This window comes from Homo sapiens, chromosome 12, assembly GCF_000001405.40.
Source record: "Homo sapiens chromosome 12, GRCh38.p14 Primary Assembly".
Lineage (NCBI taxonomy): Eukaryota > Metazoa > Chordata > Mammalia > Primates > Hominidae > Homo > Homo sapiens.
The window spans coordinates 1,496,670-1,514,469 of NC_000012.12; the positions used below are offsets into that span (position 1 = coordinate 1,496,670).

Here is a 17,800-nt window from a genome sequence, read left to right on the forward strand (position 1 = left end):
AGAGAGTCCAAACTCGTTCTTCCCGGTCGGCCCTCCCAGTGCCCAGGTCCCACCCTGGCCTCGCTCTCTGCAGCCACAGCAGCTGTTGGGAAGCTCTGCCAGGGGAGACGTGCCCGGGAGACAGGGCGCTGTGGACACGGCTGCAGGGCTGAGGTTGCTTGTACTTTCATCATATGAAGCAGGAACAATTTTACTAGCCGAGCATGTATTATTCTGCACAATATAAAATCACAACCACAAGCAAATGTGTCCACAGAAAGCTGTCAGATTACACTGGTCAGCTGTTTCCAAGGTTTCCCATTCATCTTTTTTACTATTTATTCACCCTGCATTCTACCAGTGCCCAGTTGCAGGCAAGTGGACACCGACAATAGATTTAAAGAAAATATGTGAAAACTTTTAAGAATTCCATCCATTAATTTTTTTTCGGAACTGAGAGAAGATAACTAGTACTTTATTTTTGAGGTGGAATATCTCAGGCTGGCTCAAAAATGATTAGGAGCTACTTAGGGACTGGGTGCTGTAGCTGAAACCTTTAATCCCAACACTTTGGGAGGCCAAGGTGGGAAGATCACTTGAGGCGAGGAGTTCGAGACCAGCCTGGACAACATAGTGAGACCTCTCTCGTTACAATAAATTAAAAATTTAGCAGGGCATGGTGGCATGTGCCTATAGTCCCAGCTGCTTTGGAGGCTGAGGCAAGAGGATGACTTGAGCCCAGGAGATGGAGGCTGCAGTGAGCTGCAGTGATCACACCACTGCACTCCAGCCTAGAGGTGCAGAGAGAAACCCTGTCTCAAAAAAAATAAATAGGCTCTGGGGCTGGGGGGAAGCTGGTGTGAGGTTTGTGAGCCTTCCCAGGTGTCCTGGAAAGGGCCCAGACTCGCAGACTGCAGCCCTGGGCTGCCGCTTGACCTCCCAGCCTCTTCTTCACCTCTGAAAGAATGCCTCCTTCATCCCTGTCCCCAGCCTAGGTCATAATGAAGGTGCCGTAGGATAATCTTTTTCCTTTTTGAAATTTTCTTTACAGAGCATAAATTGCTTTCTTAACATCTGCGATTCACTTAAAAATAATCAAGCATGTCTGTCGGGGAGGAGCAAGGGCGTGGAGACAAAAGATGGGCCAGAGGTCGGTAATTATGAAGCTGGGGAACTGCGTGCATGGGGTTTGTAAGTCCATTCTCCTTATTCTTGTGTTTGAATGTTTCCTGAATCAGTTAAATATTCACATCCTTCAACTGTACTTGCCCATACAGGCCTCTTCCTCCGAAGATCCAAGCACTCTGCATTCACAAAGGGCCACCGTAGCGCTCCGTTCAGAATTTGTACTTCCCTGTGTTCTAGACTCCAGGCTACAAATAATAAAAGCTAGTGACATGTGGACCACCTGCCAGCTTCAGTTCTGAGCACTGCACAGGTTTGGTGTCGGTTCACCTTCACAGCAGTCCTACAAGGTGGGTACTGTTATCCCACTTTACAGGAGAGGCACAAAGTGGACGCACGACCTTCCCAGCGCCACACAGCATGTTAGTGGTGAGACTGGAATTCACACCCGACTCTGTCTCCAGAGTGTGTGTTCTTCAGCCCACTGCTGTGGCCACCTCCCGGGGAGGACAGTCTGCTGGGGACAGCTAAGCCCAGTGAAGTGCAGTGGGGCACGAGAGCAGGCAGTGCTCGTCACACAACTTCAACAGGTGGATTTTGCCGGAAAAGGGGGTGAAGGGAAGCCAAAAAGACAGATGAGCAAGACCAGGGAGGTAGGAAAGTACGAGGAGGGCACTTGGGACAGCAAGTGGCCAGTGTGGACAGAGGACATGCGTACTGCCTGGCTTCAGAGCGACGAGGCGCGGCCGTGGCCGCAGGTGCAGCATGAAAGGGGATCCCCAGTGCCCTAGGAAGGAGGCCAGCTTGGGAGACACGATCTCACAGCCCCAGTGGTCCCGACCCCTCCCCAGCTACCGACGAAGAAAAGCCTCCCCAGGGGCTGATATAAAAAAGCAAAGGAAACACCCCTGGGCACATGCATTCTGGAGCTGCCAGCGTGTGACCTGAGGGAGGCTCCCCAGGCCACGTGCAGAGAAGCTACATGAGGGGACTCTGCTTTCCTAAGGGAAGGAGGATGTTCTTATTGATACATTGAGAGACACATCTGGCTCTGTCACCCAGGCTGGAGTGTAGCACTGCAATCATAGCTCACTGCAGCCTCGACCTCCTGGGCTCAAGTGATCCTCCTGCCTCAGCCTCCTGAGGAGCTGGGATAACAGGTGTGTGCCACCATGCCCAACTAATTTTTTAAACTCTTGTAGAGATGAGGTCTCACTATGTTGCCCAGACTGGTCTTGAATCCTGAGCTCAGGCAATCTTCCCTCCTCAGCCTCCCTAAGTGCTGGGATATAGGTGTTAGCCAAAGCACCAGCTGACATGGGACATTGTTTTTACCGCATCCAGGCAGGTGGGCCCTTTAGAAAGGGCATCACTCAATCTTCAGTTACTCAACATGAGGTCTGTATTTTGCCTCCCTTCACCTGCTTTTCTGGCAGAGAAACTAGAAATGAAAGATTAAGTTGCCCTGAGTTATACAGCAACTTAACTGGACCTGGGTTCAGAATGGGTCCATCGCTGCCAAACCTTTCTCTGGCCCCAGACTCCCTGACAGCCTCAGAGGGGTTGAGGCATCAGGGCCACACTGTGGCTGGGGGTTTCAGAGGAAAGAGAAAATAACATGCGTGGCTTGGTCACCATTACGGTGGATGTGAGTCACGTCAGGATTTCAGGCTCCGTTTGGCTCTGGGCAGTTGATTTCCTGGGAATGAGGCGATGAAGCCCTATGAATGTTCTCTCCTCCAGGCCCTCAATGGGACAGGAATGAGGTTTGCAGCTTGGTAGTGCCACTCCAGCCCTCCCTGTCCACAGGGACCATTCCTTTGCCGTGTCGTCTGGGGAAGAAGCCATCCCCTGCCATAGGCAATGGCTTACAGGGTGACCTGGGACATCCGTGCCTTCGGCTGGGTTCAGCCGTGAAGCACTCTTCTTCCCAACTCCTCCTGCTGCTCCCAGCGTGCGACATTCATCTTTCCCTTCCCAAGTTAACGCTCAGTTCTGTCTTGGCCGCCTTGGCACCTTCCCGGCCCCTCAGTCTCGGTCTCCACAGCACTTGGTCGGCTCAGCCTTGTTCGTGCGAGTCAAGAACTTGAGCCGCGCTGCTCTGAAGAGGGAGAGTCAGATGTGGGCAAAAAAAGTGCATCGAATGTCTGAGAAACTTCCATAACAAAAAGCCATCTCTGGCATCTGAAAGAATTCACGCTCGAAAGATGGTTCCTGCTTGGTTTGTCTTGGGCTTACACTTTTTTATTACTATGATTTTATTCTTCAGGGTTGTGGGAATCTGCATCTTGACTTGGACCTGGCCCGTGTGCAGGATGTAATGGGCTGATGTGCCTGGACTCCTCCCTCTGCATTTGTGCAGTGCTCCCGTGCCGGGAACACAACCCAGGAACAAGGACTTCCGTGCGACGGTGCCCCGGCCACCACCACGCCTCCCGCAGCAGCCAGGCCCGGGCCTTGAGGTCAGCAGTAAACCCCAGGACACAGGCAGTGACCCTAGACGAGCAGGGCAGGTCCAGGTGACGGGAGGCGTGCCACGTTTCTCCATCCCGAAGTTCTTCTTGGTTTTTATCCTAAGTACTGATGTCAGGATGACTCGGCAGCTTTGACGAGCCATCTGGCCCTTTAGGCAGGAAGCCAGTTGGCCTTCCTCCTCCCACTGTCCCGCCTGGGCACTCCCATGGGGCTGGCTGCAGGGGGACTGACCTTCTCAGGGGAGGCTGCCTCCGGCTTCACCGCTCCTCCCCGAGCACAGCCTTTGTGGGGCCTACGGGGCAGTAGGAGACAGGACGCTTGTCCTGCGGAATGGCAAGGAATCAGCTCTCCATTTCAGGGCAAAGTGGGGCCTGGATTGTGGGCCTTGAACATGAAGGCAGGTGGGCGAGGGACTAGGGGACCGCGTGAGGCCCGACGTGCACACGGCAGGGCCCGGCACCCATGGTTGCGTTCGGTCGGCCTTGGCCGGCTGGCTCCTGCTTGGAAACTTGCTGGGTGGTGTCTGCGGTAAGTCGGTGGCATTATTCCCAGGGGCTGTGAGGAAACCCTCATATCGTTTGTCCTAAAGCCTAGGATCTTGGAAACAGGACCATCACCCTTATAGAGGTCATCCCCCTCTGACCAGACCCTATTCCAAGGCCATTTCCTGCGTCTAAAATCCTCCGTGGGTGTAGAAACCAGCTAGAGATGGGAGCACTGAGGCCTGCAATGGGAGCTCTCCTGGAGACGTGAGGGCGTTGCCGGCCTCTTCACGCTACCCCTGCTCCAAGACCACCTCCAGCCCTCACAGAGGCCTCTGGGCCTGCCCTCCTGAGAGACCACTCCGGGCAGGGCTGTGGTGCCCACCCCATCCCCAAGAGGTCAGATACCAACAATCAGATTGTTTCTGCTTGAGGAGGGAAAAAAAGCCCAGATGCCAATCCACCAGCCTCATCATCTGGGGCCGCGTCATCCTCCTGCAGGGATGGTCTCTTTTTATTTTCTTTTTTATTTTTTATTTATTTTTAATCTTTTTTTTTTTTGAGATGGAGTCTCGTTCTGTCACCCAGGCTGGAGTGCAGTGGCACAACCTCAGCTCACTGCAACCTCCGCCTTCCGGGTTCAAGCTATTCTCCTGCTCCAGCCTCCCGAGTAGCTGGGATTACAGGTGCCTGCGGCCACGCCCAGCTAATTTTTTGTATTTTTAGTAGAGACGGGGTTTCACCATGTTGGTCAGGCTGATGTCGAGCTCCTGACTTCAGGTGATCCATCCACTTCGGCCTCCCAAAGTGCTGGGATTACAGGCGTGAGCAACAGCACCTGGCTGGGATGTTCTCTTGAATGAGAGCTTTGTCTGCCCTGCCTGTCAGTCACTGTGACAAAGGGGACCCAGGCAGACTGGAGCCCAACATTGGATCCTTTGCCAGGATGTCACGTCATGGGGTTCAAGCCGCAGCATGCAAGCCATCCCTGGCTCCGGTATCTCTGAACTCTCCTACATGGACTAAATGTCACAAAAGCCCCTTGAAGAGTCCCCAGGCAACCTCCGCGGTGAGAGAGCACTTAGATCTCCATTGCCTCCCACCCAAAACAGGAGCCTGCTTTCCTTCTCCTGTCCCCTCACTGACTGCAAGCCCCTTGAGGGCAGGGCATGTGTCTGTTCCTGCTTTTGGGTCCCCTGCAGACCCAGTCAAGCATGCCTGTGCACACACTGACCTTGCCAAGTGATCAGCGCTGATCTGATGACTTGCAGGCTTCCCAGGGCTTCGTCTTCCAGGACCTTCTTTTCTGCAGCTGGCACAGTTCTAGCCCACGTCATTGGAGATGTGTCGGGCCTGAAAATATTAGCCTGGACATCCGTTACGACCCCAGCTTTCCCTGTGGGCGGGACAGGTCAGAGCAAGCCTGCGCGGTGGCTACCTGATGTCAAGGGGAATCCCACTTGCTGCCTCTGCGGAATTCCTTGTTTCCAGGCCAGGGTCCAGGACAGCAGGGTCTGCCGCAGCCTTAGCTGCCTTGGTGCCGGGCCTGACTGCATCTCCAGTGCAAGCAGCCAGGAGGGAGGGAAGCAGCTGTGTGAGGATCCGACCACGGCCTCCTCTCCTCTCCTCGCTCCCCTATGCTGAAATCTCCACACAGGTCCTCTGGTGCGCTTCGAACTTGTATTTCCTCCCAGGGGCACACAAGAGGCCTGATAAGTCTCCTTCTTTACTTCCAGGGAAACAGTACTGAGTCTGGTGAGGAGGCAAACGCTCAGAATCTACTGCAGGTGTTAGTTCTGCAGAGGAGTCTTCCTGCTTAAGGGCTCATTTGATGTTCTGGAAATTTGCCAGGTACTGAAATACAGCCAGTCTTCCCAAAGATTCCTCCGCTCCTCTGAGTGCACGTGTGTGTGTGTGTGTGTGTGTGTACAGCCACACAACCTGACTCTTTGTTCACACACACGGGCCCTGGCCAAGTGTGAGGGTCTCCACGTGACGAAGGAAATGAGTAAACAACTTCAACATTGTTGTTTCCCTCTGAGGCTTGCAAAGAAGGTGTTAAGAGCACAAGATTTAAATCATAAACTTTATTAAAAGCCAAACAGCCCAATGTGCGATTCTTGCCAACTTGGACAGAGTCTTTGGGGTAATGCTACACGGAGCTAATCCAGAAGGAATCGAGTGGAGGAAGACAGCAGGGTGGGGGTGAGCCCACGCGTCCAGCCAGGAGAGGCAGAGGGAGGCACAGCCCCGACACAGCCACCCACCCCGTGGCCAGAGCAGGGTGGCGCAGGAGCTGGCAAGACCTCTAAGCTGTTCCTGCTTCTGCTCTCCTCACACTGTTTCCTTAGCAAATGGAGCCTCCTTCACGCCTAAAGGGCCCAGAGCAAGGCAGGGGGAGGAGGGCCGACCCCTGCAAGACTGAGAACTGGCCAGAATTGCCCACTTGCTAGACTAGCAAGAGAGCGAAGTCCCAGTGGGTACCCCCGACGAAGGACACCCGTTCCTTACCCCCCACCCAGAGGCACCCTTCCTCCTCCAAACACAAGATGCTGCTCCAGCAGGGGCAGGGACCATGTCAGCCTCCCACAAGACACACACGGGAAAGCCCTGCTTGTGAGGGCGCCACACCCAGGGCAGGAATCAGAATGAAGACACGACTCCACAGTGAGCACGGGGCTCAGGACAGGACCCAGCGTGGCAGACCAGCCAGAGAAGCTTTCACACTGCAAACAGCCCGCTCCACCTACACCCCGACTGGGCTCCACGACTCCCCGCAAGTGCCCTGCCACCTCAGGCACCTGCCCCCACGCCCACTCAGCGTCACCCCCTCGGCGGTTCATCTCCAGAAGGCTTGGAATTGATGACGTTTCCGCACCACGAGGGGCTTTTGCGATTCTGCGTCACTGAACTTGCATCTCATCCCCACGATCCGACATAAGCTTGCCAAGGACAGGACCTCGTGGCACCCGGGACAGGGGCCACCCCATCCTACATGTGACAAAGCTGTCCCTCCGTGGAGCTGGCGTCTCTGATTTCCTCGGCCTGAGGGAGGCAGTGAAGATGAAGGAAGGAGGGAGGGCGCCTTGGTGGTGGGTGCAGCTCTGTGCTGGTCTTTCTCTGGCCACCTAGACTTCAGTGGCCAAATGGCTTCAGGAGACCCACTGGTCTTTCCTGTTTTATTTTATTTTTTACTTTTTTTTTATTTTTATTTTTTGAGACAGAGTTTCGCTCTTGGTGCCCAGGCTGAAGTGCAATGGTGCCATCTCAGCTCACCGCAACCTCTGCCTCCCAGGTTCAAGCAATTCTCCTGCCTCAGCCTCCCAAGTAGCTGAGATTACAGCCATGCACCACCACGCCTGGCTAATTTTTTGTATTTTTTTTTTTTTTTTAGTAGAGATAGGGATGAGCCACCGCGCCCAGCCAGTCTTTCCTGTATTAACAAAAGTATTGGTAGTAGCATTAGGTGTTAAAAATTATCAGCACAGCTTGGGACTGGCCACAAAATTCTTCTAAATCTCCCCAGGATAATCTCATGAGAGCACGGATGCTTTGCCCAGAATCTCTGCAACCGAGGAAGGTCTGTGGCACGGGGTGGGCCCTGAGAGACTTCACCTAAAAACTTTGGGTTCATTCCCCACCCGTGTGTGTATGTAGGTGTCTCTGTAGACAGTGATTAAAAATACTCCTGACTGGATATCACCATCTGCAAAACAGGCTTCTATTCAGTGAACTACCTCTTCCTGAGTTCCTCTTAATTCCTCTTCCTTAATAGCAAGAGACTCGAGACAGCTCACACAGGCTGGAGTGGCTGCTCGTACTTGCATTTGACCCTGGCAGAATACGCCCCTTCCTGAGGTGGCAGCAAGGAAAGAAATGCTCCGCCTGCCCTCCCTCGGCACCCTGGCCCCCGTCACCCACACCCCCGTCACCCGCACCCGCCTCACCTGCACCTGCCTCACCTGCATGACCTCGCCCGTGCCTGCCTCACCTGCACCCACCCTTGCCCGCTAATTGCCATTTGGGCTCCGAGGGATGCATCTCCAACCCCAAATCTGTCAGGCCCTTGCCCAGAGCTGCCCTTGTTTTCTTTCTCTTCTATTTTTTCCTATGCGCAAAAAGATCTCACCACAAAAATGTTTTCTTCTCTTCCTCCACTTGTAGCGACTGGGATCAGGAAACCGCAGGGTGGAAATTGTGGGGGCCTGTAGCCCAGAGTTCTCCTTATTCGGGTGCTGATCAGGACGGGTCTCAAGATTGGAAGGAATTTCTCCTGGGTCTCCAGGACACAAAAATCGCAGCTGTCTGCAGCTGGGCTGGGTTGGTGGCAGTTTCCTGACCCAAGCCCCATGATTTACGTTCTGTGTCCCTCCCTAGCTTTTGTTGAGATGCCCTTTGAGGTTTGCTGGTGTGTGTTTGTCCCAGGTTTGCATCAGTCACTGCACTGTCAGGGACTCTAGTGACCAAACAAGCCCGGGCCAGCCGGCCCCCACCTTGCCACCTCCCGCCACTCGCACCCGTGTGGACGGAGGCGGCCAGCATCGGCAGGCTGTGCCTGAGGTGCTGTGGTCTTCACCCAGCGCCTTCACACAGACGACTCCTCGCTCCATACCAAGCACCCCATAGATTTGTTTGTGTTTTTTCACAGTGGCCCTCTCTGAGTTTTAAAACTGGGAATTAGAAGGGAGTTATTGATATGAAAACCACGACAGGAGGTTGTTCATATGAGAACATACAGCATCTTTGATCAACCAACACGCCCTCCCAGCTTCCGAGTTCTTGAAGGTCTGATGATGGGTCAGGGCTGAGCTTGCCCTTTCCATCCGTTACCACCTTCCATGCAAAGCTGAATGAGAACGTGGCTCACATCTGCTTTATCATCAGTACATCCCTGTGCTTAGGAGAGTGTCTGGAGCATTCTAGGTGTTCAATAAAAATGCTTTCCATAAATGAACATGAGGGAAGCTGAGGCCCGGAGCAGCGACGCCACTTACACAGAGTCAGGCAGCCCAGCAGTGGCCAGGCTGACTGAAGCCCAGGCCTCCTGCCCCCAAGCCAGAGCTCCTCCTCGCCACCTTCCGAGCATCTGCGGTAGCTTCTCTGGGTGTAGCTTGTGGTGCTCTTTCAAAGACCACCCCCAAATGATATGGTGGTTCCTTAAAAAAAAAAATCAAACAGCCTGGGCACAGTGGCTCACGCCTGTGATCCCAGCACTTTAGGAGGCCGAGGTGTGCGGATCACCTGAGGTCGGGCGTCGTCTGAGACCAGCTTGACCAACATGAAGAAACCCCGTCTGTACTAAAGCTACAAAATTAGCTGGGCATGGTGGTGCATACCTGTAGTCCCAGCTATACGGGAGGCTGAGGCAGGAGAACTGCTTGAATTCGGGAGGTGAAGGTTGCGGTGAGCCGAGATTGTGCCATCGCACTCCAGCCTGGGCACCAAGAGCGAAACTCCATCTCAAAAAAAAAAAAAAAAAATCAAACATAGAATTACCCTGTGGTCCAGCAATCCCACTTCTGGGCACATATGCAAAATTATTGACAGCAGGGTCTCAGAGAGATCCTTACACCCCTGTCCATAGCAGCCTCATTCACAGCAGCCAGAAGGTGGAACAACCCAAGTGTCCAGCTACAGATGAACGGACTTGTGAATTACGGCATAGACATACAAATGCTATTCCATCTCCAGAGAGGGTTGAAGTTCCGACACACGCCACACAAAAATGAACCTCGAAGACATGCTGAGTGAAACAGGTCAGACACAAAAGGACAAATATTGTATGATCCCACTTAGACGAGCGACCTAGAACAGGCAAATTCAGAGACGCAAAGGAGTCTTTCTGCCCATGTTCGCCTCATCTAACCCCTGCCTGCAGGGTCTGGGGGAGGTCAGAACGGGCAGTTAGGGTTGAAAGTATACAGAGTTTCAATCTGGGAAGATGAAAGAGTTCTGAGATGAAGGGTGGTGATGGTTGCAAACAGTGTAAATGTGTTTGATGCCACTGACCTGTACAGTTAAAAATGGCTACAGTGATAACTTCCGTGTTGTGCAAATTTTCACAATAAAAACTTAATGAAAGGTAGCTAGAGACAGCAAGTGAGGGGAAGCGAGGAAGGGCGAGTTATTGGTTGAAGGGTAGAGTTTTTGTTAGGGATGACGGGCGAAGTTTTGGGTACAGACTGTGGTCATGTTTCCACAACATCGTGAATGAGTTTAGTGCCACAGCATTAAATGTATTCATGGTGTACTTGTGTACTTATGAATGGCTAAGATGATAAATATTATGTACATTTTACCACAATAAAAAAGTAATGAATTCTGGCCAGGTACAGTGGCTCACCCCTGTAATCCCAGCACTTTGGGAGGCTAAGGCAGGCTGATCACTTGAGGTCAGGAATTCAAGACCAGCCCAGCCAACATGGCAAAACCCCATCTCTACTAAAAATATAGCCAGGCGTGGTGGCGCATACCTGTAATCTCTGCTATTTGGGAGACTGAGGCAGGAGAATCGCATGAACCCGGGAGGTGCAGGTTGCAGTGAGCCAAGATTGTACCACTGCACTCCAACCTGGGTTACAGCATCTCAAAAAAAAAAAAAATTAATTAATTTTAAAAGCCAATTTGCTAGCCCAGCACCAAGGCCTCTCCCCCGACAGACCTCTGGCCCTGCACCCCTGGGCCTGCCAGCACTGGTACCCACCCTGGGCTGGGTTGAGGGTGGTGTCCCTGGGCTGTTGAGAGGCTCCTGGCCCCCATGCCCCGCCCAGCCCTTCCCGCAGTCCGGAGGCAGCACCTCCCCAGCCCTGCAGACCCAGGCTGTCGAGCCACTGCGTTGGCTCCCTCTCGCCTAGTCAACAAGCATCTCTGAACATATCTTCTGTTTTCTGAATGGGGAATAGGGCACAAGGAGGTTGAGTAAAGGACTTTTTATTCTATTTGTTTGACTTAGAGCACAAACCTCCTGAGAAACTCATTTTATATAAGAATAAAGAAAAGTCTGCTTTCTATTAAGGGTACGGCAGGAGGGCAGTGGGGGTCACCCCAACTTCCCTCTGATTGAAAAAATCCCCTCCGTGCATCCATCCTCTCTACCTCATGAAGGCAGCCAGTCTTTTTTTTTTTTTTCTTTTTAGACAGAGTCTTATTCTTTCACCCAGGCTGGAGTGCAGTGACACGATCCTACCTTGACCTCCTGGACTCAAGCAATCGTCTTGCCTCAGCCTCCCTAGTAGCTGAGATGACAAGCACATGCCACCACACATGGATAATTTGTTTTGTGTTTTTTGTAGAGACGGGGTTTCACCATGTTGCCCAGGCTGGTCTCAAACTCCTGGCCTCAAGTGACCCTCCTACCTTGACCTCCCAAAGTACTGGGATTATAGGCATGAGCCACCATGCCCAGCCCAGTTCTGTTTTTGAACAGATTTTTTATGTAAAAAAGTCTTCCTTAGAGACTCATGGATGGTTAGAGCAGTAAAGGATGTTAGAAATAATCCTGTCCAGTCTCTTCATTCTAAACACAAGGAGGCCTCAAAATATGTGGCCCTGTGTTCAAGGTCACATGGCCATGCATGGCAGCACCCAGACCCTGCTCCTCGGCCCCAAGCTCCCGCCAGTAGCACGCAAAAGATCTCGGAGCTGGGGCACCCTGGCCCCGGGTGACCTGGACACCCGCTAGCACACTAGCATATACACGGGTATATGGCACTCGCCTGCTCAGCCTTACACACCCTCCCATCCCAATAGGTCATTTTGTCAGAAAAGAAAATGACTCTAATTCGGAATTATTTATTTTTACTCAACCCGTATTGGGTCCTAGTATGTAATAACTCCTTTTCAAAGTATCTAGAAATACCTTAATAATTTCCCCCGGATTTTTTGCTGGAGATTAACATTAATAGTACGAAAAAAAGAGAAAACATGGCCGGGCACGGTGGCTCACGCCTGTAATCCCAGCACCTTGGGAGGCCCAGGCGGGCGGATCACGAGGTCAGGAGATCGAGACCATCCTGGCTAATACGGTGAAACCCCGTCTCTACTAAAAACACAAAAAAATTAGCCGGGCGTGGTAGCGGGCGCCTGTAGTCCCAGCTACTCGGGAGGCTGAGGCAGGAGAATGGCGTGAACCCGGGAAGCGGAGCTTGCAGTGAGCCGAGATTGCGCCACTGCACTCCAGCCTGGGCGACAGAGCGAGACTCCATCTCAAAAAAGAGAAAAGAGAAAACATTTGTTGGTATTTTAGCCCCTACAGCAAAGGTTGGCAATTTTTTTCTGTAAAGGACCAGAGAGAGAGTAAATATTTTAGTCAGGGCTGGATTCATAGGCAGTCACCCAGGACTCTGGGTTCAGGGACCACACTTGGTTTAGTCCTCAACTATTGCCATCATGGAATTCTTAATTTTTTTTTAAACAAGGGGCTCTACATTTGCATATTGTATCTCGAATTACGTGGCCAGTCTTGATTTTAGCATATGAAGCCCATACGGTCTCCGATGCCATTATCAGAGCGCTAAAGCAACGTATAAAAGATTGCACATGTTGCAATAAAACTGTGCACACTGAAATTTGAATTTCATATAATTTTCACGTCATGAAATATTATTCTTAAAAAAATTTTTTTCCAACCACTTCAAAATATAAGTCATTTTAGCTTGCAGCCTGTAGAAAAATAGATACTGAGCTGGATTTGGATGGGGAGGCGTAGCTTGCCAACCCCTGCCTTAAAGAAACATTTGGGCATACCGTAACTTTCCTCTTGTTGCAATTCTGCGTGGTGGCTCAGACCCCTGGGGACCTACCAAGCCTGCTCTGCACAGTTGATGCTAACGTGCTGCCCCACTGGGGCGCAGGAATGAGGTGTTAGCAGTAACCAAGAGTTGCTTGTGTCTACACTGTTGTGAGAGGAGGGAAATGTACCTGCGGCAGCACCTGTTCCTTTGACACCCTGGACCTGACCCACATGATCACAGTAGAGACGGAAGTCCAGCCATTTACTCCCTTCCCATTCCTCTCTCACTACACAGAGTCACTGTGGTCTCCAAGGTTACGATCCTGGTTCTCCTCCTCCGCCTGAGCGGAGACTCAGCAGCAAGACACACATGGCCGAGTCCTTCACCAGAGCCCCTTTGCATGGACCCCATGGTGCTTTCCTGGGGAATGAGGCTGGATGCCAGAAACCCAGCCCGACTCCTGTGCTCCAAGGCTCAAGAACACTCAGAACACCCCTCTGAAGACCCCCCTTGAGCAGATGCCCTCAAGGTCTAACCGGCTCAGGAGGGTCCCCAGAGCTCGGTGATGCTGGCTCAGAGAACCTGGGTAACGGAAAGGAGAGGCAGCTTTTCCCACTCACTGTCTCTGACACAAGCTCATTCTCCACAGTCATGTGAGTTTCCCAAACACCTTCCTCCCTCTGGCGTGTCTCTCTCAAGCCTCAGTCCAGTGAATGTGATTTATGAAAGGCCGTGAGGTCAGGCCCACCCATGGCAACAGCCTCAGCCCCTTCCCCGGCCTCTAACCCATTCTTCTTCAGTTACGCTTTCCATGCTCCTTCCTGATTTGCTCATCCCCAGAGACGGATGACCAGGGCTGTGAGCTCTGGTGTCAGAGTTCATTCCAGATGCAGGCTTGAAACTGAAGGAGCCAAGTCAGCCCCCTAAGGAAGGTTATAATTGCTAAAGGAAATACTGAGGAGGGAGGTGGATGGATGCGCTATGGCTGAGAGATTGTGTGTCTTGGGACCTTGGCAACTCAAACTTCTCCACAAAAGCAGAGAAGGAACAAGGAGAAAGTCAGTGGCAGCTGGACCCCAAGGCCACCAGCACCCCAGCAGTGACTGTGTCTAAAGCAAGGTCATCCACGTAGATGACTGCAGTGAGAATGGATACTCAGCTGCAGAGCGAGAATGAGCTCTCATTATTAGCGGCTGTTTTAAAATCATTTAACAATTTGGGCTAAGGGCTGTTGAGAATATAAAACAGTGTGAGCCAAGGAACTTAGCCTCTGGTTAGAAAGGTAAAACTAATTCATAAATACACATTGAATGCGAATAAAAGGCCATATGTGATAGGTTCATAATGAACTTATTCGACAAGCCTGTATTGAGTGCCTACTGTGTGCTAGAGACTTCAGTTCCTTTTTAAGATTGTTTTTACTTATTTTTAATTGACAAATAATAATTGTACATATTTATGGGGTGCAATGAGATATTTTGATCTATCTGTACATTATAGAAAGATTCAATCAATCTGAATAACACTCCCTCACCTCACTAACATCATTTTTTGTGTGGTTAGAACATTAAATATCTATTTTTAGCAATTTGAAATATACAATGCATTATTATTAACTGAGGTCACTGTGCAGAACAGTCACCAATACTTGTTCCTCCAGTCTAACTGAAACTTCATATCCTTTAATCAACCTCTTCCCTTTCCCCATCCCTCCCCCTCATATTCCCAGCCCTGCGACTCTCTGTTTCTATGAGATCAATTCTTTAGATTCCATATGTAAGTGAGATGACACAGTATTGTCGTTCTGTCCCTGGCTTATTTCAGTTAGCATAATGCCCTCTGGTTCCATCCATGTTGTCACAAATGACAGAATTTCCTTCTTTTTAAAGGCTGAGTAGTACTCCATTGTGTATATACCACATTTTCTTTATCCAGTCATCCACTGATGGACACTTAGATGACTTCTATATTTTGGCAATTGTGAATAATGCTGAAATGAATGTGGGAGTGCAGATATCTCTGCAACATATCAATTCCTCTGGATATATACCCAGAAATGGGATGGCTAGATCATATGGTAATTCCATTTTTATCTTTTTGAGGAACCTTCATACTGTTTTCCAGAATGGCTGTACTAACCTACATTCCCATCGACAGTGTACAAGGGTTCCCTTTTCTCCACAGCCTCACTAATAATTATCATTTGTCTTTTTGATAATAGCCATTCTCACAGGTGTGAGGTGATGTCTCATTGTGTTTTCAATTTGCATTTCCCCGATGATTAGAGATGTTGAGCATGCACTCTGGGAGGCTGAGGCAGGCGGATCACTTGAGGTCAGGAGTTCAAAACCAGCCTGGCCAATATGGTGAAACCCTGTCGCTACTAAAAATATAAAAAAATTAGAAGGGCATGGTGGTGCACACCTGTAATCCCCGCTGCTCAGGAGGCTGAGGCAGGAGAATGGCTTGAACCCGGGAGGTGAAGGTTTCAGTGAGCCGAGATCGCACCACTGCACTCCAGCCTGGGCGACGTAGTGAGACCCTGTCTCAAAAAAAAAAAAGAAAAAGAAAAAAGGAAAGTAATGCCACCAGAGGATACTATATCTAGCAAAATTACCCTTCATAAATGAAAGATAAATAAAGTCTTTTTCAGACAAACAATAACTGAGGGAATTCATCACCACTAGGTCAACCTTACAAGAAATGCTCAAAGGAGCACTACACTTGGAAGCAAAGGACAACAGTTACCATCATGAAAACACATAAAAATATAAAACTCACCGGTAAACAAACACACAAATGAGAAAGAGAAAAGACTCAAGTGGTGGGTGTCACTGCAGAAAACCATCAACGATAAGGACAAACAATAAAAGAAAAAGGAACAAAGAACATATAAAACAACCAGAAAACAACTAACAATATGACAGGAACAAAACCTCACATATCAATAATAACCTTGAAGGTAAATACATTAAATTCTCTGCTTAAAGGTATAGATTGGCTGAATGGATTTTTTAAATGATCCAACTGTATGCTGCCTACAAAAAACACACTTTACCTGTAAAGACACATAAAGACTGCAAGTAAGGGGATGGAAAAAGATATTCTATGCAAATGGAAACCAAAAGCAAGCTGAAGTAGCTACACTTATATCAGATAAGACAGACATTAAGTCAAAAACAGTAAAAAAAAAAGGCAAAGAAAGTCATTATATAATGATAAAGGGATCAATCCAGCAAGAGGATATAACAATTCTAAATATATATGCATCTGACACTAGAGCACCCAGAGTCATAAAGCAAATATTACTAGATCTAATGAGAGAGATAGACTCCAATGCAATAATAGTGGGGGACTTTGATACCCCACTCTCAGCACTTGACAGATCATCTAGAGAGAAAATTTAAAAAGAAACATCAGATTTAAGCTGGACTTTTGGCTAAATAGACCTAAAGATATTTACAGAACATTTATGCAATAACTGCAGAATACACCTTCTTCTCATCGGTAAGTGGAACATTTTCCAGGATAGACCATATGGCACACCACGCCTGTAATCCCAGCTACGTAGGAGGCTGAGGCAGGAAAATCGCTTGAACCCGGGAGGCGGAGGTTGCAGTGAGCCGAGATCGTGCCACTGCACTCCAGCCTGGGCGACAAGAGCGAGACTCTGTCTTAAAAAGTAATAATAATAAAATAAAATAATTTTAAAAAATGGGCAAAGGAGGTGAATAGACATTTCTCAAAAGACATACAATGGCCAACAGGTATATGAAAAAATGCTTAATATCACCAACAATCAGGGAAATGTAAACCAAAACTACAAAGAGATATCATCTCACCCCAGTTAGAATGGCTATTATCAAAAAGTAAAAAAATAACAGATGCTAAGGAGGATGTGGAAAAAAAGTGAACTCTTAAACATTGCTGGAGGGAATGTAAATTAGTACAACCACTACGGAAAGTAGTATGGAGATTTCTCAACTAAAAATAGATTTACCATTCGATTCAGCAATGCCACTACTGGGTATTTAGCCAAAGGAAAAGAAATCAGTATATCAAAGGGATACCTTCACTCACATGTTTATTGCAGCACTAGTCACAATAGCAAAGGTAAGGAAACAAGCTATATGTCCATTAACAGATGAATGAATTAAAAAATGTCATATATACACACGATGGAATACTATTTGGACATAAAAAGAGAATGAAATCGTGTCATTTGCAGCCATATGGATGGAACTGGAGGTCATTATGTTAAGTGAAATGTGCCAGGTATAGAAAGATAAGTAACGCATGTTTTCACTCATTTGTGGGAGCTAGCAAACTTGATCTCATGGACATACAGAGTAGAATTGATAGGTACCAGAGAATGGGCAGGGTGGGTCGGTGGAAGTGGAGATGAAGAGAGGTTGTTTAATAGGTACTAACATATAGTTAGATAGAAGAAATAAGGCCGGGCGCGGTGGCTCACACCTGTAATCCCAGGACTTTGAGAGGCTGATGTGGGTGGATCACCAGAGGTCAGGAGATCGAGACCATCCTGGCTAACACGGTGAAACCCCGTCTCTACTAAAACAAATACAAAAAATTAGCCGGGCGTGGTGGTGGGTGCCTGTAGTCCCAGCTACTTGGGAGGCTGAGGCAGGAGAATGGTGTGAACCCAGGAGGCGGAGCTTGCAGTGAGCCGAGATGGCGCCACTGCAGTCCGGCCTGGGCAACAGAGCGAGACTCTGTCTCAAAAAAAAAAAAAAAGAGAAGAAATAAGTTCTCATGTTTGATGCAGAATAGGGTGACTAGCAACAATATTATATATATTTCGAAGTAGAAGAAAGGACTTGAAATGACACCAACACATAGAAATGATATATACTCAAGGGGATAAATACCCCAAACACCCTGACTTGATCGTTACACATTCTGTCCATGTAACAAACACTCACATATACTCCATAAACATATAAAATACTATGTATCAATAAAAGAAAAAATAGTTACCTAGATTTT

General features: G+C 49.3%; 1 long non-coding RNA gene across 1 annotated transcript, besides 4 other annotated features; it reads left to right on the plus strand.

The window, feature by feature from the left end:
• Nucleotides 3,119-4,318: an enhancer, noted in NCBI's record as "MED14-independent group 3 enhancer chr12:1608954-1610153 (GRCh37/hg19 assembly coordinates)". NCBI's record gives its function as "activates an origin of replication core promoter dependent on BRD2, BRD4, P300/CBP and CDK7 cofactors, and independent of MED14, by STARR-seq in HCT116 cells {active_cell/tissue: HCT116}" and the evidence as "EXISTENCE:reporter gene assay evidence [ECO:0000049][PMID:35650434]".
• Nucleotides 3,119-4,526: a biological region, named in NCBI's record as "MED14-independent group 3 enhancer GRCh37_chr12:1608954-1610153".
• Nucleotides 3,815-4,526: an enhancer, noted in NCBI's record as "H3K27ac-H3K4me1 hESC enhancer chr12:1609650-1610361 (GRCh37/hg19 assembly coordinates)". NCBI's record gives its function as "activates a minimal SCP1, AML or CMV promoter by ChIP-STARR-seq in primed H9 embryonic stem cells {active_cell/tissue: H9 hESC(primed)}" and the evidence as "EXISTENCE:reporter gene assay evidence [ECO:0000049][PMID:30033119]".
• Nucleotides 3,822-7,755, plus strand: LINC00942 (long intergenic non-protein coding RNA 942). Its single transcript, NR_028415.1, has 2 exons — nucleotides 3,822-4,107; nucleotides 5,798-7,755. It is a non-coding gene; the product is annotated as a long intergenic non-protein coding RNA 942 (long non-coding RNA).
• Nucleotides 6,079-6,277: a silencer, noted in NCBI's record as "fragment chr12:1611914-1612112 (GRCh37/hg19 assembly coordinates)". NCBI's record gives its function as "represses an EF-1alpha promoter that drives an FKBP-Casp9 reporter gene in an ReSE screen in HepG2 liver carcinoma cells {active_cell/tissue: HepG2}" and the evidence as "EXISTENCE:reporter gene assay evidence [ECO:0000049][PMID:32094911]".
• Nucleotides 7,756-17,800: the final 10,045 nt, after the last annotated feature.